Source organism: Homo sapiens, chromosome 3, assembly GCF_000001405.40.
Source record: "Homo sapiens chromosome 3, GRCh38.p14 Primary Assembly".
In the NCBI taxonomy this organism is placed as follows: Eukaryota; Metazoa; Chordata; class Mammalia; order Primates; family Hominidae; genus Homo; species Homo sapiens.
The window spans coordinates 49,239,017-49,263,441 of NC_000003.12; the positions used below are offsets into that span (position 1 = coordinate 49,239,017).

At 46.7% G+C, this 24,425-nt stretch overlaps 1 protein-coding gene and 1 pseudogene across 9 annotated transcripts in view, besides 1 other annotated feature; one reads left to right on the top strand and one right to left on the bottom strand.

The window, feature by feature from the left end:
- The window catches only part of IHO1 (interactor of HORMAD1 1), a 66,798-nt gene extending 47,708 nt beyond the window's left edge, over positions 1–19,090 (top strand). For 7 of the 9 annotated variants that reach the window (XM_011533672.3, NM_178173.4, NM_001135197.2 and 4 more), the window contains 5 exons: positions 2,210–2,373; positions 5,388–5,436; positions 5,630–5,717; positions 16,374–16,477; positions 17,118–19,090. In XM_011533672.3, the coding sequence (XP_011531974.1) occupies positions 2,210–2,373; positions 5,388–5,436; positions 5,630–5,717; positions 16,374–16,477; positions 17,118–18,266 (1,554 nt within the window). In that variant the 3' untranslated portion in view covers positions 18,267–19,090. Of the gene's footprint in view, positions 1–1,128; positions 1,173–2,209; positions 2,374–5,387; positions 5,437–5,629; positions 5,718–16,373; positions 16,478–17,117 lie in introns of those variants that run through there. The other 2 variants (XM_047448069.1, XM_011533671.3) reach the window with 2 other exon arrangements.
- Positions 10,102–10,151: an enhancer, noted in NCBI's record as "active region_19858". NCBI's record gives its function as "activates an Ori minimal core promoter by ATAC-STARR-seq in GM12878 lymphoblastoid cells {active_cell/tissue: GM12878}" and the evidence as "EXISTENCE:reporter gene assay evidence [ECO:0000049][PMID:35858748]".
- Positions 13,113–13,248, bottom strand: GCSHP6 (GCSH pseudogene 6; annotated as a pseudogene).
- Positions 19,091–24,425: the final 5,335 nt, after the last annotated feature.

Below are 24,425 nucleotides of genomic sequence, written 5' to 3' on the forward strand. Positions count from 1 at the left end.
CATCTCCTGCTTCAGTGTGATCTCAGCTCACTGCAACCTCTGCCTCCTGGGTGCAAGCAATTATCATGCCTCAGCCTCCTGAGTGGCTGGGATTATAGGCGCCTGCCCCCATGCCCAGCTAATTTTTGTATTTTTAGTAGAGACAGGGTTTCACTGTGTTGGCTAGGCTGGTCTCAAACTCCTGACCTCAAGTGATCCACCTGCATTGGCCTCCCAAAGTGCTGGGATTACAGGTGTGAGCTACCATGCCTGGCCACACCAAGCTAATTTTTTTCTTTTTTTTTTTGAGAGGGAGCCTCACTGTTGCCAGACTGGAGTGCAGTGGCATGATCTCAGCTCACTACAACCTCTGCCTCCCGGGTTCAAGCGATTCTCCTGCCTCAGTCTCCTGAGTAGATGGGACTATGGGCGTGCACCACCACGCCCAGCTAATTTTTGTATTTTTAGTAGAGACAGGATTTCACCATGTCAGCCAGGATGGTCTCAATCTCCTGACCTCATGACCCACCTGCCTCAGCCTCCCAAAGTTCTGGGATTACAGGCGTGAGCCCCCGTGCCCAGCTGCACCAGCTAATTTTTATATTTTTTGTAGGGATGGGGTTTAGCCATGTTGCCCAGGCTGGTCTTGAACTCCTGGGCTCAAGGGATTTTTTTTTTTTTTTTGAGACGGAGTTTTGCTCTGGTTGCCCAGACTGGAGTGCAATGGTACGATCTCGGCTCACCACAACCTCTGCCTTCCAGGTTTAAGCAATTCTCCTGCCTCAGTCTCCTGAGTAGCTGGGATTACAGGCATGCGCACCACGCCTGGCTAATTTTGTATTTTTAGTAGAGACGGGGTTTCTCCATGTTGGTCAGGCTGTTCTTGAACTCCCCACCTCAGGTGATCTGCCCACTTCGGCCTCCCAAAGTGCTGGGATTATAGGCGTAAGCCACTGTGCCCAGCCTGGGCTCAAGTTTTATATATAAACTTACATGCATCAAATAGGGACTTAACAAATAAGATTAAGTTGGTGCTTTTTTTTCTTTTCTTTTCTTTTCTTTTCTTTTGAGACAGAGTCGCACTCTGTCACCCGGGCTAGAGTGCAGTGGCACGATCTTGGCTCACTGCAACCTCCTCTTCCCAGGTTCAAGAGATTCTCCTGCCTCAGCCTCCCGAGTAGCTGTGATTACAGGTGTGTGCCACCACGCCCAGCTAATTTTTGTTTTTGTTTTTGTTTCTGTTTTGAGACGGAGTTTCACTCTTGTCGCCCAGGCTGGAATGCAGTGGTGCAATCTTGGCTCACTGCAACCTCCTCCTTCTGTGTTAAAGCAATTCTCCTGCCTCAGCCTCCTGAGTAGTTGGGATTACAGGCGCCTGCCAGCATGCCCGGCTAATTTTTTGTATTTTAGTAGAGACAGGGTTTCGCCAAGTTGAGCAGGCTGGTCTCAAACTCCTGACCTCAGGTGATCCGCCCGCCTCGGCCTCCCAAAGTGCTGGGATTACAGGCATGAGCCACCACACCCGACCAATTTTTGTATTTCTAGTAGTGACGGGGTTTCATCACATTGGTCAGGTTGGTCTCAAACTCCTGACCTTGTGATCCACCCACCTCGGCCTCCCAAACAAAGTGTTGGGAGTACAGGGGTGAGCCACCATGCCCAGCCAGTCGGTGCTTTAAGTTAGTAAAGTATGCTCTGAAATAAGTATTTCAGTACAAAAATTGGTATCTAGTGATATGAAGGAATAAATGACCTCCCTGAATGTTTCAGAATTTTGCCAAAGAATGCAGAAAGTGGCTCACCATTTGTCAGCATGCCCACTGTCCAGTCCACATCAAACTTACCAATATGAGTTCAGTTCACTAGCAGCTGAGCAACAGCAATTTGAGTTAAAATTATGATTATGAAAACTTTAACACATCATGTCAGAAATAGCATAAATGGTTCTCTGTTCTTGCCTTTAAATTTATGCAATTGATTCTAAGCTATTTTGGTTGACATTTAAAATATCTCTGGGCTGGTAAGGCAAAAATCTATATTAATAAAAACAGTTGCTTTATTTTAAATATAATTTTCTGGTGTATACAAAGATAAAATGGAAATACTACTTGCTATGTTACGTTACAGCAATATGGTTTGCACTTAAATGTGACTCTGCATTGTACAGAAAATAGTGAATGCTATAAATATTTTTATGTGTGAAATGCTATATATTTTTTTCATTTAACAGGGTGAACCTAGCATTTTCACAAAGTACCAGACAAAGCCCCAGCTGTTCGGAGGAGATATAAAAGATGGAGGTTTATTTCCTCCTCCTTTGTCAGTTGGAAAATCAAAAGGCCTCTTGGAACAGTTTGAGGAGAAAAAGAAAAGGGCAAAAGACAAATGTGACAGGTATGTAAACCTTTCAAATGGATGAAAGAACTCACCTTTTCTGAGTAAAACAAGACATAGAGTGTCAGTAATTAAATAATTCAATTTTAGCATAATAGCATGTATTAGAGTTCTCCAGAGAAACCAAACCATAGGACTTACACACACATACACACACACACACACACACACAGACACACAAACAGACACACAGAGAAAGAGGGAGAAAGAGAAAGAGGGAGAGAGAGAATTATAGATTGATTTTTTTTTTTTGACGGAGTCTTGCTCTGTCGCCAGGCTGGAGTGCAGTGGCACAATCTTGGCTCACTGCAACCTCTGCCTCCCAGGTTCAAGCGATTCTCCTGCCTCAGCCTCCTGAGTAGCTGGGACTACAGGCGCCTGCCACCATGCCTGGCTAATTTTTGTATTTTTAGTAGAGACAGGGTTTTACCATGTTGGCCAGGCTGGTCACAAACTCCTGACCTCAGTTGATCCACCCATCTCAGCCTCCCAAAATGCTGGAATTATAGGCGTGAGCCACTGTGCCTGGCCATTATTATTATTATTATTTATTTTATTATTATTTTTTTCTGAGATGGAGTTTCACTCTTGTTGTCCAGACTGGAGTGCAATGGCACAATCTCGGCTCACTGAAACATCCGCCTCCTGGGTTCAAGTGATTCTCCTGCCACAGCCTCCCGAGTAGCTGGGATCACAAGCGCATGCCAGCATGCCCAGCTCATTTTTGTATTTTCAGTAGAGACGGGGTTCGCCATGTTGGCCAGGCTGGTCACGAACTCCTGACCTCAGGTGATCTGCCCACTTCGGCCTCCCAAAGTGCTGGCATTACAAGCATGAGCCACCGCAGTCTTCCCACCTTAGCTTCCCAAGTAGCTTCGATCAGAGGCACACACAGCTGTGGCCACCTAATTTTTTTTTTTCAGAGATAGTGTCTCACTATGTTGTCCAGGCTGGTCTTGAACTCCTGGGCTCAAGCAGTCGTCCCACCTCGACCTCTCAAAGTGCTGGGATTACAGGCATGAGCCACCATACCCAGCCTCCTAGTTATTCTTAATTGCCTTCTTGTCAATATGATTTGTGGTAGATTTACATACCACAATTTTTTTCTCTCTGAAAAATAAAAACTAGAGGATTTCTAAGAGAAATGTAATATTCAAGTAATGTTACACTTATTTTTCCTAAACATCTGCCCCCTGATTTTTCTTTTCAGATCATCAGGATTAGGAAGTTGGACAACATTATTTATTTTAGAGTCTAGAATAGAATGTGGCCAGGCACGGTGGCGGGTGCCTGTAATCCCAGCTACTCAGGAGGCTGAGACAGGAGAATCACTTGAACCCAGGAGGCGGAGGTTGCAGGGAGCCTAGATTGCACCATTGCACTACAGCCTGGGAGACAAGAGTGAAACTCCATCTCAAACAAACAAGCAAAAAAACAACAACAACAACAAAAAAGAATAGAATGCATGAAATCGTTTAAATTTTACATTCAAAAACTTTTTTGAATTTTTTTAAACTTTTATTTTAGGTTCAGGGGTATATGTGCAGGTTTGTTACATAGGTAGACTCTTGTCACAGATGTTTGTTGTACAGATTATTTCATCACCCAGGTACTAAGCATAGTACCCAATAGCTATTTTTTTTTCTGATCCTTTCCCTCCTCCACCCTTCACCTCAACTAGGCCCCAGTGTCTGTTGATCTTCTGTTCATGTCCATGAGTTTTCATCATACAATGCATGAATTCTTTGGCTTTTGTTTTGTTTTGTTTATTGAGATGGAGTCTCACTCTGTTGCCCAGGCTGGAGTATAGTGGCAAGATCTTGGCTCACTGTAACCTCTGCCGCCTGGGTTCAAGCGATTCAAGTGCCCCAGCCTCCCAAGTAGCTGGGACCACAGGCGCGTGACACCATGCCCAGCTAATATTTTTGTATTTTTAGTAGAGACGGGGTTTCAGCATGTTGGCCAGGCTGGTCTCAAACTCCTGACCTCAGGTGATCCACCGGCCTCAGCCTCCCAAAGTGATGGGATTACAGGTGTAAGCCACCATGCCCAGCCCATGTGTGAGTCTTTTTTTAAGAACTGGATGTGGCCAGGCGCGGTGGCTCACGGCTGTAATCCCAGCACTTTGGGAGACCGAGGCAGGCGGATCACGAGGTCAGGAGATTGAGACCATCCTTGCTAACACGATGAAACCCCGTCTCTACTAAAAATTCAAAAAATTAGCCGGGCGTGGTGGCGGGAGCCTGTAGTCCCAGCTACTTGGGAGGCTGAGGCAGGAGAATGGTGTGAATCCAGGAGGCAGAGCTTGCAGTGAGCCGAGATCGTGCCACTGCACTCCAGCCTGGGTGACGGAGCGAGACTCTGTCTCAAAAAAAAAAAAAAAAAAAAAGAGTAGTATGTATAGTTGAGGAATAACTGTGATAGCTTCTTTTTCATTAGAAATGAATATTTTCATATTAATATTTACATATAAATATGTATATGAATATGGATTTTAAAAAGAAAAATGCGATTTGCCTTAGCAGTGGTCATAGGAAGTCTGTGTTCTCTCTTTTTTTTTTTTTTAACTTTTTATTTTATTTTGAGGTGGAGTCTCGCTCTGTCTCCCAGGCTGGAGTGCAGTGGCATGATCTTGGCTCACTGCAACCTCCGCCTCCCAGGTTCAAGGAATTCTCCTGTCTCAGCCTCCCCAGTAGCTGGAATTACAGGTGCCCACCACCACGCCTGGCTAATTTTTGTATTTTTAGTAGAGACGGGGTTTCACTGTCTTGGCCAGGCTGGTCTTGAACTCCTGACCTTGTGATCCACCTGCCTTAGCCTCCCAAGATGCTGGGACTCTCTTTTTTTTTCCCTGCTGGGCACTAAGGTTTCTCAGGGTCAAGTCTTCAGATCTAATCAAGCAATGTTTTGATGCTATGCTAGGTAGAGATCTGCCATATTTATGGAATCATTTATGTTACTTATCACTTCAATATTTCATAAAGATTTGTTTTCTTTTTTCCCTCCTATTCTAGTGAGACTCTATACAACTTTGTTTCTAATGTTAGAGAAAGCATTCTCAGGGTAAGTACAGATACTTTTCAAGGAGTTAGAACATCTTATATTTTAAGAAGTTTAATATTTATATTGTATTGGCTTTAGTTAATGTAGAATAGCAATATTTTAACTATCCCTATTTATCATGAAATGACAATTCTCTAAGATAGTAGAATAAGGCAATAGCCTGTGAATTATTTCATAATTTTGGGTTTCTTAGTTGCAGACGTCTGTGGAAAAGTCTGAGGACCATCTCAGTTCAAGAAGCCAATCTATTTTGGATTCTTTGGAGACTGTGGCCAAGACATGTGAGTGCCTCATGTTTGAGGTATCAGCAGAGGGCACTGGTGAATGATGAACATGAACTTTCTGACCCCAGCCTGGTTTCCAGTGGTGAGGTTCCTCACAGGGTTTCAGATGAGAGGATGGGTATATAGGGTTAGTCCTGAAGAGATGTGGAGCACACTGAGCTGGGTAGTGAGGCCCACCTCTATGTGACAATGCTCTGGTCCCATGATGCCTTTTGTGAGGCACTAATCCCCCACCTGGTAACCATGTTGCCTCAGGGCAGGTAGCTCTGCTAGGTTTCTCATCTCACTGCCTGAAGTGAGTCAGCAACATCCTTGAGTCTCAAATTGCTGCCTGTGCTGTCTATAGACACTGACTGCCCCCTTAGGAGTTAGAAATACTGTAGTACCTGCTGCTCTTCTTGCTGCCTTGGTTTCAGTGAGAGCTGTGTTGTGAATCACAGCATCATTCTCAATTTTTTTTTTTTTTTTGAGACAGAGTCTCGCTCTGTCACCCAGGCTGGAGTGCAGTGGCGCAATCTCGGCTCACTGCAAGCTCCGCCTCCCGGGTTCACGCCATTCTCCTGCCTCAGCCTCCTAAGTAGCTGGGACTACAGGCGTCTGCCACCACGGCTGGCTAATTTTTAAAATTTTTAGTAGAGACGGGGTTTCACTGTGTTAGCCAGGATGGTCTCCATCTCCTGACCTCGTGATCTGCCCGCCTCAGCCTCCCAAAGTGCTGGGATTACAGGCATGAGCCACCACGCCCAGCCCCATTCTCAATTTTACTTATAGTTTGTGGTTTATAAAATCCTGTGCTCCACCAATTAGTGGTTTACATTTAGATGAAACCATGGCCCTTGCCCTATAAACAGAAGAGAGTAAATATACAGTTCTCCTTGGGTGAATACTTCTCTAGAACCACCTGTTTCCTAGCAAAACGATGAGCTGATGACTATGCATCTGTACTTGTTTGCATTTGTCTGTGTGTTTATTTTATAAACAAGTTGAAATCAACTTACACAAATGCCATGGGGTGGACTGCTCATAATTTACAAAAATTAATGCCTTTTTGTGGCCTAAAAATTAATCCCCAACTGTCTGCATAGAAGCACTGTACTGTCTGCTGGATTTCAACCTGGGCATCCCACACACAGGGCATATGCATCTGTTTAGAAACTTGTTCTGGGGCCGGGCACAGTGGCTCCCACTTGTAATCCTAGCACTTTGGGAGGCCGAGGCGGGCAGATCACAAGGTCAGGAGTTCAAGTCTGGCCTGTCTAATATGGTGAAACCCCATCTCTACTAAAAATACAAAAATTAGCTGGGTGTGGTGGTGGGCGCCTGTAGTCCCAGCTACTCGGGAGGCTGAGGCAGAAGAACTGCTTGAATCTGGGAGGCGGAGGTGGCAGTGAGCTGAGATGGCGCCACTGCACTCCAGCCTGGACGACAGAGCGAGACTCCGTCAAAAAAAAAAAAAAAAAAAAAAACTTGTTCTGGAAGCCTTGAAACTGTTAACCCCACAAGAAGTAGCAAGACAGACGGCAGAAGCAAATCAGGGATGCTTCCTTTGTATAACATGATAGAGTAAGTCATTTATAAGTACCCAAGGAAAGTACTCTGTTTTTGTTTTACATTTAAAACTGGGTGGGCCGGGCACAGTGGCTCATGCCTATAATCCCAGCACTTTGGGAGGCTAAGGCGGGAGGATCACTTGAGGCCAGGAGTTCGAGACCAGCCTGGCCAAAATGACGAAAGCCCGTCTCTACTAAAAATGCAAAAAAAATTAGCCAGGCGTGGTGGCAGACACCTGTAATCCCAGCTACTTGGGAGGCTGAGGCAGGAGAATCGCTTGAACCCAGGAGGCAGAGGTTGCAGTGAGCTGAGATCGTGCCACTGTACTCCAGCCTGAACAACAGAGTGAAACTCCCTGTATCAAATAATAATAATAATAATAAAACTGGGTGAAGTACAAAAAAGGAGGATTGCAGCAAAAGTATGGCGTTTAAATCCCAGAAAAGGGAAAGGAAGTGCCTGAGGCCCCAACACAAGATCAAGGCAGAGAAAGAACTAAAACTGCATCTGGCTTAGAGTAGGCAAAGGGATCCATTCCTTAATTTTCTTTTGCTTTTCTTTTTTTCTTTTCTTTTTTTTTTTTTGAGACGAACTCTCACTCTTGTCCCCCAGGCTGGAGTGCGATGGCGCGAACTTGTGCAACCTCTGCCTCCCAGGTTCAAGCGATTCTCCTGCCTCAGTCTCCTGAGTAGCTGGGATTACAGGTGCCTGCCACCATGCCTGGCTAATTTTTGTATTTTTAGTAGAGACGGGGTTTCACCATGTTGGCCAGGCTGGTCTCGAACTCCTAATATCAGGTGATCTGCCCACCTCGGCCTCCCAAAGTGCTGGGATTACAGGCGTGAGCTACCGCGCCTGGCAGGTTCCTTAATTTTCAAAGGGTAAGACTCAGAAGAGAGGCCGGGCGTGGTGGCTCCTGCCTATAATCCCAGCACTTTGTGTTTTTGTTTTTGTTTTTTTGAGATGGAGTCTCGCTCTGTCACCCAGGCTGGAGTGCAGTAGCACGATCTCGGTTCACTGCAACCTCTTCCTCCCGGGTTCAAGCCAGTCTCCTGCATGAGTCTCTCCTGCACCAGTCTCATGCAGGTGCATGCCACCACACCTGGCTATTTTTTTGTATTTTTACTAGAGACAAGGTTTCATCATGTTGGCCAGGCTGGTTTTGAACTCCTGACCTCAGGTGATCAGCCTGTTTCGGCCTCCCAAAGTGCTGGGATTATAGGCGTGAGACACCACGCCCAGCCTAATCCCAGCACTTTGGGAGGCCAAGGTGGGTGGATTGCTTGAGTCCAGGAGTTTGAGACCAGCCTGGGAAACATAAGGAGACTTTGTGTCTACAAAAAATAAACAAAACCAGCAGGGCATGGGACATATGCCTGTAGTCCCAGGTACTAGGGAGGGTGAGGTGGGAGGATCGCTTGAGTCTGGGACGTCGAAGCTGCTGTGAGCCAAGATGGTGCCACTGCACTCCAGCCTGGGAGCTAGAGCAAGACCCTGTCTCTAAACACTAAAACTAAAACTAAATAAATAAAATGAAAAAAAAAAATAGATTCAAGGGTGGGCGTGGTGGTTCATGTCTGTAATTCCAGCACTTTGGGAGGCCAAGGCAGGTGAATCACTTGAGGTCAAGAGTTTGAGACCAGTCTGTCCAACATGGTGAAAACCCGTCTCTACTAAAAATACATAAATTAGCCATGCGTGATGGCTGGAGCCTGTAATTCCAGCTACTTGGGAGGCTGAGACAGGAGAATCGTTTGAACCTGGGAGGTGGAGGTTGTAGTGAGCCGAGATGGCGCCACTGCACTCCAGCCTGGACGATAGAGTGAGACTCCATCTCAAAAAAAAAAAAAAAAGGCCAGGTGTGGTGGCTCACGCCTGTAATCCCAGCACTTTGGGAGGCCAAGGCGGGCAGATCACGGGGTCAGGAGATCAAGACCATCTTGGCTAACACGGTGAAACCCCATGTCTACTAAAAATACAAAAAATTAGCTGGGCGTGGTGGCGGGCACCTGTAGTCCCAGCTACTCAGGAGGCTGAGGCAGAATGACGTGAACCCAGGATGGGGAGGTTGCAGTGAGCCGAGATCCTGCCACTGCACTCCAGCCTGGGCGATAGAACCAGACTCTCTCAAAAACAAAACAAAACAAAACAAAACAAAAGCCCAGGCACAGTGACTCACACTTGTAATCCCAGCACTTTGGGAGGCCGAGGTGGGTGGATCACTTGAGGTCAGGAGTTTGAGACCAGCCTGACCAATATGGTGAAAACCCATCTCTACTAAAAAAAAAATACAAAATTAGCCAGGCGTGCTGGTGCAGGCCTTTAATCCTAGCTACTTGGGAGGCAGGAGAATCACTTGAACCTGGGAGGCAGAGGTTTCAGTGAGCTGAGATTGCGCCATAGCACTCCAGCCTGGGCAACAAGAGCGAAACTCTGTCTCAAAAAAGAAAAAGAAAGAAAAAAGACTCAGTAACAGACACAGCAGTATCACATGAATTAGGACAGGTCATTCTTGAAAATGAGCACAAGTAGCCTATCCAGAATAATTCTCTTTCTTGGTAGGAAATGATGATGAGCAGAAAATTAATCATTGAGAGAGGAACCAGACAAATCCTCTAGCATATGGCCAGGTCCAGTCCAGCTATTCTAGAGCATTGAACTCCACCTCAGTGCATTCTGCAAGCTTTCAGTCTCTACTCATGTGCTCATCAGGGAATAGGGAAGTAAAGATACTGTGTGAAAGTGCTGTCTGTGTTGTTATGTAATTGGTGCCTTCACAGATGAGGTCATTAAATATTTTCCCAGTCAGCCTGCCCAGCCAGAAGGGTCACTGTGGCCATCTAATCTAACTCTTCCTGTTCTTCAGCTGAGGACACTAAGGACCACAGTAATAAAGTTAATTACCAAAGCCTCTTGTATACTACTTTACCTCATATGTTAAGTCTGGTGATAAATTATAAAAAGAACTAGAAGAAAACATGGACAACATTTTTTTTTTTTTGAGATGGAGTTTCGCTCTGTCACCCAGGCTGAAGTGCAGTGGCGTGATCTTGGCTCACTGCAGCCTCTGCCTCCCGGGTTCAAGCGATTCTCCTGCCTCAGCCTCCCAAGTAGCTGGGACTATAGGCACACACCACCACGCCCAGCTAAATTTTATATTTTTAGTAGAGACAAGGTTTCACCATGTTAGCCAGGATGGTCTCAAACTCTTGACCTCATATCCACCTACCTCAGCCTCCCAAAGTGCTGAGATTATAGGTGTAAGCCACCACGCCCGGCCATGGACAACATTTTTATAATTTTAGAATGGGAAAAGCCTTTCTAAGCAAAATAGATATAATTGTTAAGAAGAGTGAGATCCATCTATATGAATATGGTAGAATGGAAATATCTGTTCATTGTTAAATTAAAACAACAAAAAGGTGCTCTTCGCGTGCTCCAGGATACATCTTGTTGGAAAGTGTGACCAGCCAGTGAAAACTGGGAAGAGTATCCCTAAAAAAGTTGGAGGTGGTCTCATCTTATACAAGGAGGCTGCCAGATCTTTTGTTAGGCTCTCATCAGCACCTGAGGGAGAATAAAACTACAGAGTAAAAGGAAAATCACTGGCCATCCGGGGAAAAGCTTGCATCACAATCTGATCTCATCTCAATTGAGGCCTTACCAAGTTGCTAAAATAAAAACAAATTGTTTAAAAATCATCTTAACAGGAAAACAGATATTGTCCAGAATATGGAAATGGATTTTAAATGGCATTTTTACATAAAAGCTAAAAATATCTAATGTTTATAGTCAAAGCAAAAATGAAATAAATACTCTTCTAGACACACATACACAAACAAACACAGGACCTATAATGTATATACAGATATGCACACGTATTAATGTAAAATTCCAGAAACCGATGATAATGTTAAATCCAGGAAGAGAGACCAAGGTTTGCAGAGGAGAGATTCAATCATTTTTCAATGTATGCCTTTTTATACTATTATGGTTTTCAGTTATTTTCATAACTAAATTTTTTTAAAAGAAAAAATATGGATAGACTTTGAATGTAATGAGTTTGATACAAAAGCTCCTATAAAAGAGAAGACGCCAAACATATGTTGCCCTGGGGACAAGAACTGAATGTATGGGACCTCAGATGGATGCTTTCTGAGCACTTAATCCAGAATCAAACACTTTGCTTGCCTTTCTCATGCTCTGCTTTTGTGAGGGTCAGTAATGCCCACTGTTGCTAAGAAACATTACTATTTAGGAACTTCTCTATGGAAGGATAATTACATTTGCTCTCTACTATAAATATCTACATGGATGTCTGAAGAATATTTGACTAATTGGGTTTAGGAGCAGGAATCCAATACCTAAGTAAATAGCCTCTTTCTAATTGATTGACACATGGAATTGAACTTGTACCTGTGGTGAGAAATATGGGAAAATTTGCTTTCTAAAAAATTCTTTGGGCCAGACACAGCAGCTCACGCCTGTAATCCCAGCACTTTGGGAGGCCGAGGCGGGCAGATCACAAGATCAGAAGTAGGAGACCAGCCTGACCAACATGGTAAAACCCCGTCTCTACTACAAATACAAAAATTAGCCGGGCGTGGTGGCGCATGCCTCCAGCTACTCAGGAGGCTGAGGCAGGAGAATCGCTTGAACCCTGGAGGCAGAGGTTGCGGTGAGCCAAGATCGCGCCACTGCACTCCAGCCTGGGCGACAGAGTAAGACTCCATCTCAAAAAAATAAAAAAACTATGCTAGATTAAATTGTTTCATGTTAGTTTAGCGGTTCCATTTTCACGTCTCAATATATTTTACTTAGTTTTTGTTTGTTGGTTGGTTGGTTTGTTTTGAGACAGAGTCTCTCTCTGTCACACAGGCTGGAGTGCAGTGGTGCGATCTCAGCTCACTGCAACCTCCCCTTCCTAGGTTCAAGCAGTTCTCCTGTCTCAGCCTCCTGAGTAGCTGGGACTACAGGCACATGCCACCATGCCTGGCTAATTTTTTTTTTTTTTTTTGAGGTGGAGTCTCTCTCTGTCGCCAGGCTGGAGTGTAGTGGCACAATCTCAGCTCACTGCAACCTCTGCCTCCTGGGTTCAAGTGTTTCTCCTGCCTCAGCCTCCTGAGTAGCTGGGACTACAGGCGTGCATCACCATGCCCAGCTAATTTTTGTATTTTTAGTAGAGACGGGGTTCACCATGTTGGCCAGGAAGGTCTTGATCTCCAGACCTTGTGATCCGCCAGCTTTGGCCTCCCCAAAGTGCTGGGATTACTGGTGTGAGCTGCTGCGCTCAGACTTTACTTAGTTGTTGGTTTTTTTGTCTTTTTTTTTGAGATGGAGTTTTGCTTTTGTTGCCCAGGCTGGAGTGCAATGGCGCGATCTCGGCTCACCGCAACCTCTGCCTCCCGGGTTCAAGCGATTCTCCTGCCTCAGCCTCCCGAGTAGCTGGGACTACAGGCATGCGACACCACGCACTGCTAATTTTTGTATTTTTAGTAGAGACGGGGTTTCTCCATGTTGGTCAGGCTGTTCTCAAACTCCTGATCTCAGCTGATCTGCCCGCGTCGGCCACCCGAAGTGCTGGGATTACGGGCGGAGCTACCGTGCCTGGCCTACTTAGTTTTTATATCACGAGATTATATCAAGAGATTCTCCTGCCTCAGCCTCCCGAGTAGCTGGGATTACAGGCATCTGCCGCCACACCCGGCTAATTTTGTATTTTTAGTAGAGGCCGGGTTTCTCCATGTTGGTCAGGCTGGTCTCGAACTCCCGACCTCAGGTGATCCACCCGCCTCGGCCTCCCAAAGTGCTGAGATTACAGGCGTGAGCCACCACGCCCTGCCACCAAATTCATCTTGTTTGTTCAATTTTTTCCCAACTGCAGGGAGACTACAGTAAACATTTCCCAAAACTTCCTGTGCAAAATTGCTGATTCCTACTGTTTTCATGCCATTTTCTGTTGTTATCCATTAGTGTTTGTGAATTTACACACTGAGGGAGTGAGGCATATGCAGTTTCCAGAAGGCAGCCAGCATTGCCAGTGGGGTGGCACAGCCCTGGACCCACTTTTTAAAAATTGTGGTAAAAATACACATAACATAAAATGTACCATTTCTTACTGCTTTTTTCTTTTCTTTTTTTTTATTTTTGAGATAGGTTCTCCCTCTGTCATCAAAACTGGAGTGCAGTGGCACAATCACAGCTGACTGTAGCTTTGACCTCCTGGGATCAAGCAATTCTCCCACCTCAGCCTCCCGAGTAGCTAGGACCACAGGCACATACCACCCCACCCAGCTAATTTTTATTTTTCATTTTGTAGAGACAGGATCTCACTATGTTGCCCAGGCTGGTCTAGAACTCCTGGGCCCAAGCAATCCTCCCGCCTCAGTGGCTTCCCAAAGTGCTGGGATTATAGGTGTGAGCCACTGTGCCCAGCCTGTTTATTATTTTTTCCCTCTTCTAGACTGTAGAATTCGGCCGGGCATGGTGGCTCACTCCTGTAATTCCAGCACTTTGGGAGGCCGAGGTGGGCGAATCATGAAGTCAAGAGATCGAGATCATCCTGGCCAACATGGTGGACCCTGTCTCTACTAAAAATACAAAAATTAGCTGGGCATGGTGTTGCGTGCCTAAAGTCCCAGCTACTTGGGAGGCTGAGGCAGGAGAATTGCTTGAACCCAGAGGCAGAGGTTGCAGTGAGCTGAGATTGCACTACTGCACTCCAGCCTGGCAATAGAATGAGACTCAGTCTCAAAAAAAAAAAAAATCATGTAGGTAGACAGTTTTGTTCAAAATTGTTTTCCATTCTCCTAGCACAGTGTCTGACAATAAACTTTCAGATAAAGGTGTATATTTCGGCCAGGCATGGTGGCTTATGCCTGTAATCCCAGCACTTTGGGAGGCTGAGGCGGGTGGATCACCTGAGGTCAAGAGTTTGAGACCAGCCTGGCCAACATGGCAAAACCCCATCTCTATTAAAATACAATTAATAGCTGGGCATGGTGGTGCATGCCTGTAATCCTAGCTACTCCGGAGGCTGAGGCTGGAGAACTGCTTGAACTCAGGCGGCAGAGGTTGCAGTGAGCTGAGATCGTGCCACTGCACTCCAGCTAGGCGACAGAATGAGATTCTGTCTCAAAAAAAGAAAGAAAGAAAGAAAAAAGAATTCAAGTCCACCAATCTTGCCATGGCTCATTCACCCCTCTGTGTAACTGTGACCTGCCTCCCCTCAGCTGTGGCCTGCTCCTGGGCCCCTTGCTCACCATGTTTCAGCCATGCTGATCTCAATTCCTCTGTTTGGAACGTGCTCTTTCTTCTGTTGGTAATATTCTTTCCCTTACAGTTTTATGACAATTCAGCTAAATATCAGTTTCTTAGGGAAATCTTACCCCTGAGAGTGACTAAGTCTACAGTTACATGGTCTCAAGCACAGTACGCTTTTCCTTTAGAGCAGTTATTACATTTATAGTTATTTGTATAATTAGTCATTAACTACCTCCTGTTTTCCCTAAGATTGCAATTTCAAGAGGGCTTTATTTGTCTTTTTTTTTTTTTTTTTTTTTTTGAGATGAAGTCTCGCTCTGTCACCCAGGCTGGAGTGCAATGGTGGGATCTCAACTCACTGCAACCTCTACCTCCCAGGTTCAAGCAATTCTCATGCCTCAGCCAACCAAGTAGCTGGGACTACAGGCACCCGCCGCCACGCCTGGCTCATTTTTGTATTTTTAGTAGAGACAGAATTTCATCATGTTGGCTAGGCTGGTTTCGAACTCCTGACCTCAGGTGATCTGCCCGCCTCAGCCTGCCAAAGTGCTGGGATTACAGGCGTGAGTCTCCACGCCCAGCTAGCTTTATCTGTCTTGATAACTGCTATATCCATAGTGCCTGGCACATAGTATATGCTCATTAAACATTCGTTGAATAAATATAAAAGCATCTTCATATGACCTGTAGTCTAGCAAGAGGATGGCAATAAATTGCAACACAATGTGTCATTAAATAAATGTGTGTGTGTGTGTGTGCATGCAGAATCTCACTGTGCAAAAGAGGAAAATCAATCAGTCCTGATGTAGTTAGCACCTAGGTCCCCAAGTCTATTTGGGTCCAAGTGTAAGTATGGGATAAATAAGTGGAGGGCAATAAATGATGGTAGGGCACATACACGGTGCTACCTGCAGAGAGAAGCAACACCCTAGCCGAGTGGAAATGGTATTTTCTGAGGAGGTGACTGCTGAAAGTAGAAGGAAGAATAGGAATTAGCTGGACTAAGGTGGTGATTGGTTGCGGGGGGCGGGGGGAATGACAGGGACAGAAACAGGGTACTTGAAGCTAAGGGAAGACTTTGCACAAAGGCCAGTGGTGAGAGAGAAAACAAGAGTCCAGAGACATGGAGGAGGACAAATGGGTAAAGGGAAGTGAGCCCAGATCTTGTTAGCCAATTTAAAGATTTAGATTTTGTTCAGTGGCCAGTGGGGTGCCATCGAAAGTTTCAACGGGCTGGGCATGGTGGCTCACGCCTGTAATCCCAGCACTTTGGGAGGCCGAGGCGGGCAGATCACCGGAGGTCAGAAGTTCAAGACCAGCCTGGCCAACATAGTGAAACCCCATCTCTACTAAAAATACAAAAATTAGCAGGGCATGGTGGCATGCGCATGTAATCCCAGCTACTTAGGAGCTGAGGCAGGAGAATCGCTCAAACCTAGGAGGGGGAAGTTGCAGTGAACCAAGATCGCATCACTGCACTCCAGTCTGGGTGACAGAGCTAGTCTCCGTCTCAAAAAAAAAAAAAGAAAAAAAGTTTCAATGAAGGTTTCAGAGGGTGCATTCTACTAAGATCACTCTGATGAGAGGGCCAAGAAGGAAGGCCACAGAAGCTTTTGTGCTGTTGTCTGGGCAACTGATTCTCAGAGTCCCCAGCAGGTGCTGAGGTTGGGTCTGCCCTAGCCAGGATCTTGTCAAGGAGGGAGGGAAGGAGAGCCTGGAGGAACCACTCCGGTCTGCATCCAGCTCCTCCCTTTTCACTGCTGTGGTTCTGTGGTTTGGGCAGATGGGACATACCATACATAGTCTTCAGGAGGTGAACTGTCACTGTTTTGTATTTAGTACAAGAGACTATACAGGCCCAGAATGACCTGGTGTTTGAGGCAGTCCAGGACAAAGGCAACATGGAGCAGGCCATCCTTGAGATGAAGAAAAGATTTGAAGCTGTAAGTGTAAACCCCAACCTCTTTCTAAGTGTGTTTTGGGCTTTGAACTAGACCCAGAGAGAAACTTTTTTTTTTTTTTTTTTTTTGAGACAGAGTCTCGCTTTGTCGTGCGGTGGTGCAATCTCAGTTCACTGCAACCTCCGCCTCCCATGTTCAAGCAATTCTCCTGCCTCAGCCTCCTGAGTAGCTAGGACTTACAGGTGTGCACCACCACGCCCAGCTAATTTTTGTATTTTTAGTAGAGAGGGGGTTTTTCACCATGTTGGCCAGGATGGTCTCAATCTCTTGACCTTGTGATCCACCTGCCTTAGCCTCCCAAAGTGCTGGGGATTACAGGTGTGAGTCACTGCGCCCGGCCGAGAAACCTTTAAAGTTGCAAATTTTCAGCTAAGACAAGAGGCCAGCACAGGCCACTTGGAAAGGGGCCAGCATATAGACTAGCTTCCTTCCCCAAGGTTCCTTGACATGATGTGGGCCCCAGGGGTTCAACTCCCGAGTGTAATTGTGCTTACCCTGAGAGGTTCCCTACAAGGAGCAAGCCTTGGTTCTGCTGTCACATCCATTGGTCTGTTCTCATGTTTTATTGTGCTTTCTGACTTGCACTGTCCATCACTGTCTTTCTCACTGCCTCTCTCCCCAGAGACAAGGAGAGTTTATAGAAATGAAGTCCAACCTGAAGCACCTTGAAGTTTTAGTTGCTCAGCAGAGTCAGGAATTCCAGCAGCTGTGTGAGCAGCTAGGCCAGCTGAATGTGCCCAGTGTCCTAGCAGAGCTGAAGAGATTGATCTCAGTGCCTCCAGTGAAAGACAGTGCTTCTCAGACGTCGCCACCTTTGGCCCAGAGCCTCAATCTCACCAGGCAGGAAAAATACACCTCTGAGAAACCAGTTTTATGGCAGGCCCAGGCCCTCCCTGCTGCATGGAATCCTGGTATGGGCTCCCTACAGCCTGGAGAATTTGATGTCTGGGGTGAAGGAGCAAAGAATGATGATCTCCAAGAAGAGGCTGCACTGCCAGCATTTGGGTCCCATGAAAGAAATAGGCATGTAAAGGACAAGGTGGTGCAGACTAACTGCAAGAACTGGGCTGTTACTAAAACAGGTGCCAAGAACCATGGTTCCAGCGTCCCAGGCCATAAGATTCCCAGTGACAGGGACCTGGTTTCCCAAGGAGCCTCACAGCTCACATCATTGGAGATAAACTTTTCAACCAGCATTAAGAATGCCTGCCAAAAATATCAAGCCCAAAGTATGTTTTTGTGTGACCCACGTGAACATTTGGTGATTAAACAGAAAGATGGGACTGTAGAAATGCGGGGGAAAGACAAGAAGCAGCAGCCCAGGAAGGCCCACAGGGCCCACAGAGGCAGGCTCATAGCCAGCAAGCAAAAACAAATCCCAATCCAGACCTGTAAATTCAATTCCAAATATCAGAGTCCTCAGCCTGCAATTTCTGTCCCTCAAAGCCCCTTCCTGGGGCAGCAGGAACCCCGTGCTCAGCCTCTGCATCTGCAGTGTCCCAGGAGCCCCAGAAAACCAGTCTGCCCTATTCTGGGAGGAACAGTCATGCCCAATAAGACAGTAAGGGCAGTGCAGGGAAGACTCTTGCAGCTCAGCAGGTGCTCTTCCCAAGACAACTGGCTACTTTCCAGCAGTTCCCAGGGGGACCACCAGATGAGCTGGTTCAGTGACCTCAATCTCGGATGTTCAGAGACCCCTCTATGCAAGGAGGCAGGAAAGAATTTGCTCTATGACCTGGGTTTTGATAGCAGTGATGATGATGGCTTCTGACCAGTCCACAGTTGATTTATTGGTCTCAGCTAGAAAGAGAAATTGCAGGACATTTGGGCTGGCCAACAGCAGAAAGTCCCTGAAGCCTGCCAAGTACCCAGGGTCAGAGGCCCTGCTGAGGTGGGGCAATGAGCACGAGGGCAGGGAAGGTCCAGCATTCTGGGTACCAGGTGCTGCCCCTGACAAGGATTAAGTGCATCCTTATTTATTGGAATGAAATGTGAAAATGGTGCTGATGAAAACTGAGGCAGCAGCCTGGTTGTGGGGCATCTGGAGCAGGGTGCCTGTACTTTGGCGAAAGGCAGGCAGGCCTCCTTATGGAATACTGTGTAGCAGAAGGGCTCTCATAAAACTGTTGCGGTGGCAGCATGACTCCAAACAACATTTTTGGGTCTTTAAAATATTCCCTACACATGACCAATACATTTTCAGGCCTCAGGATTTTTTTCTTTCTTATTTTTAGCCACTTATGCTACCAGAATGTTTGCATTTTTTGATCAGTAGACATATTACAGGACACCCTAAATCTTCTTGTGAACAGAGAAAATAAAATGATAAGCCTGCCAGTGAAAGAGGTGACATTCACTAGCAAATGTCCAGAGCATATCACTGCTCACAAGCCATTTTTCTTCCTGGTTGCTTTTTCCCTTGTCCTGTTTTTCAAGCACTTTCTTAAAACTAATAATATTGTAGACCTTGTATTTCTGAAGAGCAGTGGGCTTATATGGGACTTTGGCTTTCCATTTTTATCTTGCTGAAGTTTTTGAGTTTTTGCAACACAAGTATTTTTTGTTATCAGAAATAAGATAAAACATTTAAAAGCATATATTTTTTTTCTTTCTTTCCACCCCCACCCCCAACCGAGATGGAGTATTGCTCTGTCACCCAGGCTAGAGTGCAGTGGTGTGATCTCAGTTCACTGCAACCTCTGCCTCCTGGGTTCAAGCAATTCTGCCTCAGCCTCCCAAGTAGCTGGGATTACAGGCGCCCACCACCACACCCAGCTAATTTTTGTATTTTTAGTAGAGATGGGAGTGTCACTATGTTGGCCAGGCTGGTCTCGAACTCCTGACCTCATGATCTGCCTGCCTCAGCCTCACAAAATGCTGGGATTACAGGCATGAGCCACTGCGCCTGGCCTATTTTTTCTTTCAAGTTTATCAAACTGATGTCCCGGTTTAATTTTTTAAGTTTACTTAGGAAATGAAATAGAAGCCAGGCACACTTGTAATCCTAGCACTTGGGGAGGCTGAGGCAGGAGGATTGCTTGAGGCCAGGAGCTCAAGACTAACCTGGGCAACATGGTGAGACCCCATCTCTTTTTTTTTTTTTTTTTTTTTTTTTTTTTTTTATTGAGACAGAGTCTCGCTCTGTCACCCAGGCTGGAGTGCAGTGGCTCGATCTCGGCTCACTGCAATGCAAGCTCCTCCTCCCGGGTTCACACCATTCTCCTGCCTCAGCCTCCCAAGTAGCTGGGATTACAGGTGCCTGCCACCACGCCTGGCTAATTTTTTGTATTTTTAGTACAGACAGGGTTTCACTGTGTTAGCCAGGATGGTCTCGATCTCCTGACCTCGTGATCCGCCCGCCTCGGCCTCCCAAAGTGCTGGGATTACAGGCGTGAGCCACCGCACCCAGCCCTTTTGTTTTTTGAGGAGTTTCACTCTTGTTGCCCATGCTGGAGTGCAATGGCGTGATCTCAGCTCACTGCAACCTCCACCTCCCGGGTTCAAGCGATTCTCCTGCCTCAGCCTCCCAAGTAGCTGGGATTACAGGCATACGCCACCACACCTGGCTAATTTTGTATATTTAGTAGAGATGGCTTTCTCCATATTGGTCAGGCTGGTCTCGAACTCCCGACCCCAGGTGATCTGCCCGCTTCAGCATCCCAAAGTGCTGGGATTACAGATGTGAGCCACCACGCCCGGCCTGTGAGACCCTATCTCTACCAAAAAAAAAAAAAAAAAAAAATTAGCTGGACATGGTGGCGTGCACCTGTGGTCTCAGCTACTTGGAAGGCTGAGATGGGAGGATCACTTGAGCCCAGGAGTTTGAGGTTACAGTGAGCTATGATTGTGCCACTGCACTCCAGCCTGAGTGACAGACCAAGACCTTGTCTCTTAAAAATTAAAATGAGAGGCCGGGCGCAGTGGCTCATGCCTGTAATCCCAGCACTTTGGGAGGCCGAGGTGGGCGGATCACTAGGTCAGGAGATTGAGACCATCCTGGCTAACACAGTGAAACCCTGTCTCTACTAAAAATACAAAAAAAAAAAATTAGCCGGGCGTGGTGGCAGGTGCCTGTAGTCCCAGCTACTTGGGAGGCTGAGGCAGGAGAATGGCGAGAACCCGGGAGGTGGAGCTTGCAGTGGGCCGAGATCGTGCCACTGCACTCCATCCTGAGCGACAGAGTGAGGCAGAGCTTGCAGTGGGCCGAGATCGCACCACTGCACTCCATCCTGGGCGACAGAGCGAGACTCCATCTCAAAGAAAAAAAAAAAAAAGGCCGGGCGCGGTGGCTCACGCCTGTAATCCCAGCACTTTGGGAGGCCGAGGCGGGCGGATCACGAGATCAGGAGATCGAGAACATCCTGGCTAACATGGTGAAACCCTGTCTCTACTAAAAACAGAAAAAGTTAGCCAGGCATGGTCGCGGGCGCCTGTTGTCCCAGCTACTCGGGAGGCTGAGGCAGGAGAATGGCATGAACCCGGGAGGCAGAGCTTGCAGTGAGCCAAGATCGCACCACTGCACTCCAGCCTGGGTGACAGAGAAAAACTCCGTCTCAAAAAAAAAAAAAAAAAAAAAATCAGGGCCGGGCGCAGTGGCTAACGCCTGTAATCCCAGCACTTGGGAGGCCCAGGCGGGTGGATCAAAGGTCAGGAGTTCGAGACCAGCCTGGCCAATATGCAATATGGTGACACCCCGTCTCTACTAAAAATACAAAAATTAGGTGGGTCTGGTGGCACGTGCCTGTAGTCCCAGCTGTCCTGGAGGCTGAGGCAGAAGAATCACTTGAACCCGGGAGTTAAAGGTTGCAGTGAGCCGAGATCATGCCACTGCACTCCAGCCTGGGCGACAGAGTGAGACTCTTTCTCAAAAATAAAAAAAAAAAAGAAGATATGAAAATCAGATACATACCATCTTTTTAGTTCCTAAGGCTCTCACAAGATTATTTTGAATAAACACCACCCATTCAAACTGGTTTTTCCCTTTCCTGTATTATATGAAGGGGAAAATCCTCATGGGATGGATAGTTTCCAGAATTTGCCCATTTCCAAGCCAGTACAGTAAATGACACTGGGGCCGCTGAGTGGACCACTGTAGAAAGCAATGGTTCTTGTTTCTTATTTTTTACATTATTTTCAGGGATGTGTGTCCCATCAAAGTCTCATTATGGAGGAGTTGAATTTTCCCGGGACACCTGTGGCAGGGCTGCCAGACACCAGCCTAAACTGCTCTCACTCTCATTTCCAGACCAAGGGCCTCTGGTGGCCTGTAGGGAGCCATGGGCAATCACAGCAACCCTCTCTGAGGCCAAGGAAGTTCAGGTATGAGCTGTACCTGAGGCTGCCCTGGCCTCTCCTCTCCCGTCAGTCCTCACTGGGTGTCTTCTCACCCTGCCCTCTGCCAGCTCCACTGCTTTCCCTGCTGGGTTTCATTGCTTGTGCAAGGAAGATACGGAAGCCACACAATGGGTTGGTTCTTTCTAGCCCTTCCCAGACTGACTATAGGCCAGCGGGGTCTGTATCTAGAAATCTTTTATTACTCTAAGTTGAACAGTTTAATGATTAGTCATTTTAATTTAGAGTTGAGATTCCATTAGTATTTGACTGTGGCCTTCTTATTGAGAACTCTGTTCAACTTTGAAATGCCAAAGCAGGAGCCTTTGTTCTTTGATCCTGCCGTGAGTTAAGAAATTCTGTATTTCTTCAGAAGTGTTTCATTTTGTGTAATGAAGTCAAGGGTTAGAGTGACTCAGTGTTCCATGAGTTAAGTGTCTTTGTAGAATGAACAGTAAACTTATCTCCTAATAATTCTGCGTTAATTACAATTACACTGCCTGTCTCTGGGGATCATCAGAAAAAGATACTGTTTCTTAATTTATTCCTAAGGCTTAAAAAAAAAAGTTAGGCCGGGTGCAGTGACTCATGCCTGTAATCCCAGCACTTTGGGAGGCTGAGGCAGGTGGATCATGAGATCAGGAGATCAGGATCATCCTGGCTAACAGGGTGAAACCCCATCTCTACTAAAAATACAAAAAACTAGCCGGGCATGGTGACAGGAGCCTGTAATCCCAGCTACTCGGGAGGCTGAGGCAGGAGAATGGCGTGAACCCAAGAGGCGGAGTGACCCGAGATCACGCCGCTGCACTCCAGCGTGGACGACAAAGCAAGACTCCATCTCAAAAAAAAAAAAAAAAATTAACTACTGTGTTCCTGCCAGGTTTGGTGAGGGTGACACAGCCCAAGCATCCAAGCATGTCCCTGGAACAATCAACATCTTTGGCTCCTCAGATGTTCCTGGAACTGTATGTGGCTACCCAGGGGCAGATGTGGTGGGAGGCCTATGGGCCTGAGGCCCAAAAAGCCACACAGGGCCAGGCGTGGTGGCTCACGCCTGTAATCCCAGCACTTTGGGAGGCTGAGCCGGGCGAATCAACGAGGTCAGGAGTTCGAGACCAGCCTGGCCAACATGGTGAAACCCCGTCTCTACTAAAAATACAACAAATTAGCTGGGCATGGTGGCAGGTGCCTATAATCCCAGCTACTTGGGAGACTGGGACAGGAGAATCACTTGAACCTGGGAGGCAGAGGTTGCAGTGAGCTGGGATCGCGCCACGGCGCTCCAGCCTGGGCAATAGTGCAGGACTGTCTCAAAAAAACAAAACAAACAAACAAGCCACCCAAGGGCTTCTCCCTCTGATACAACTCTGGCTACAGCCCAAGGATGGAAATGAAGCTGATTGCAGTACCTAATTTTCTTGACATTCACAGGTATCTATCTATCTATTTATTTATTTATTATTATTTGAGATGGTGTTTTGCTCTTGTGGCCCAGGCTGGAGTGCAATGGTGCAATCTTAGCTCACTGCAATTTCCGCCTCCCGGGTTCAAGCAATTCTCCTGCCTCAGCCTCCAGAGAAGGTGGGATTACGGCGCCCGCCACCACACCAGCTAATTTTTGTATTTTTAGTAGAGATGGGGTTTCACCACGTTGGCCAGGCTAGTCTCGAACTCCTGACCTCAGGTGATCTGCCCACCTTGGCTTCCAAAATGCTGGGATTATAGGCATGAGCCATCATGCCCAGCCAATTTCTCTTTTTCGTGTTTTTGCCTCAGAAGCTCCAAAGGGCTCCTGTTGAGGGGCCTCCTACAAGATGCTTTCTTTCCCAGGTCAGTTCCCAGCAACTCCTCTCACCCAAAGTGCCCAGAAAACAGCCTGTCTACTCTCAAAAAAGATAGTTGCAGCCTGGCGCGGTGGCTCATACCTGTAATCCCAGCATTTAGGGAGGCAGAAGAGGGAGAATCTCTTGAGTCCAAGAGTTTGAGACCAGCCTCAGCAACACAGTGAGACTCTGCCTCTTTTTTTTTTTTTTTTTTTTTGAGACGGAGTTTCACTCTTGTTGCCCAGGCTGGAGTGCAATGGTGCAATCTTGGCTCACTGCAACCTCTGCCTCCCAGGTTCAAACGATTCTCTTGCCTCAGCCTCCCAAGTAGCTGGGATTACAGGCACCCACAACCACACCCAGCTAATTTTGGTATTTTTGGTAGAGATGGGGTTTCACTATGTTGGCCAGGCTGGCCTCGAACTCCTGACCTTGTGATCTGCCCACCTCAGCCTCCCAAAGTGCTGGGATTACAGGCGTGAGCCACCACGCCAGGTCTGACTCTGCCTCTATTTTAAAAAATGGTAGTTGCTTCCTAGAAGTTAGTTTTGACTTTTTTTTTGTTTTTTTTGAGACAGAGTCTCACTTTGTTACCCAGGCTGGAGTGCAGTGGTGCGATCTCAGCTCACTGCAGCTTCGACCTCCTGGACTCAAGCCATCTTCTTAGCCTCCAGAGTAGCTGGGATTACAGGCGCCCGTCACCACACCCAGCTAACTTTTGCATTTTTAGAAGAGGCAGGGTTTGGCCATGTGGGCCAGGCTGGTCTCAAACT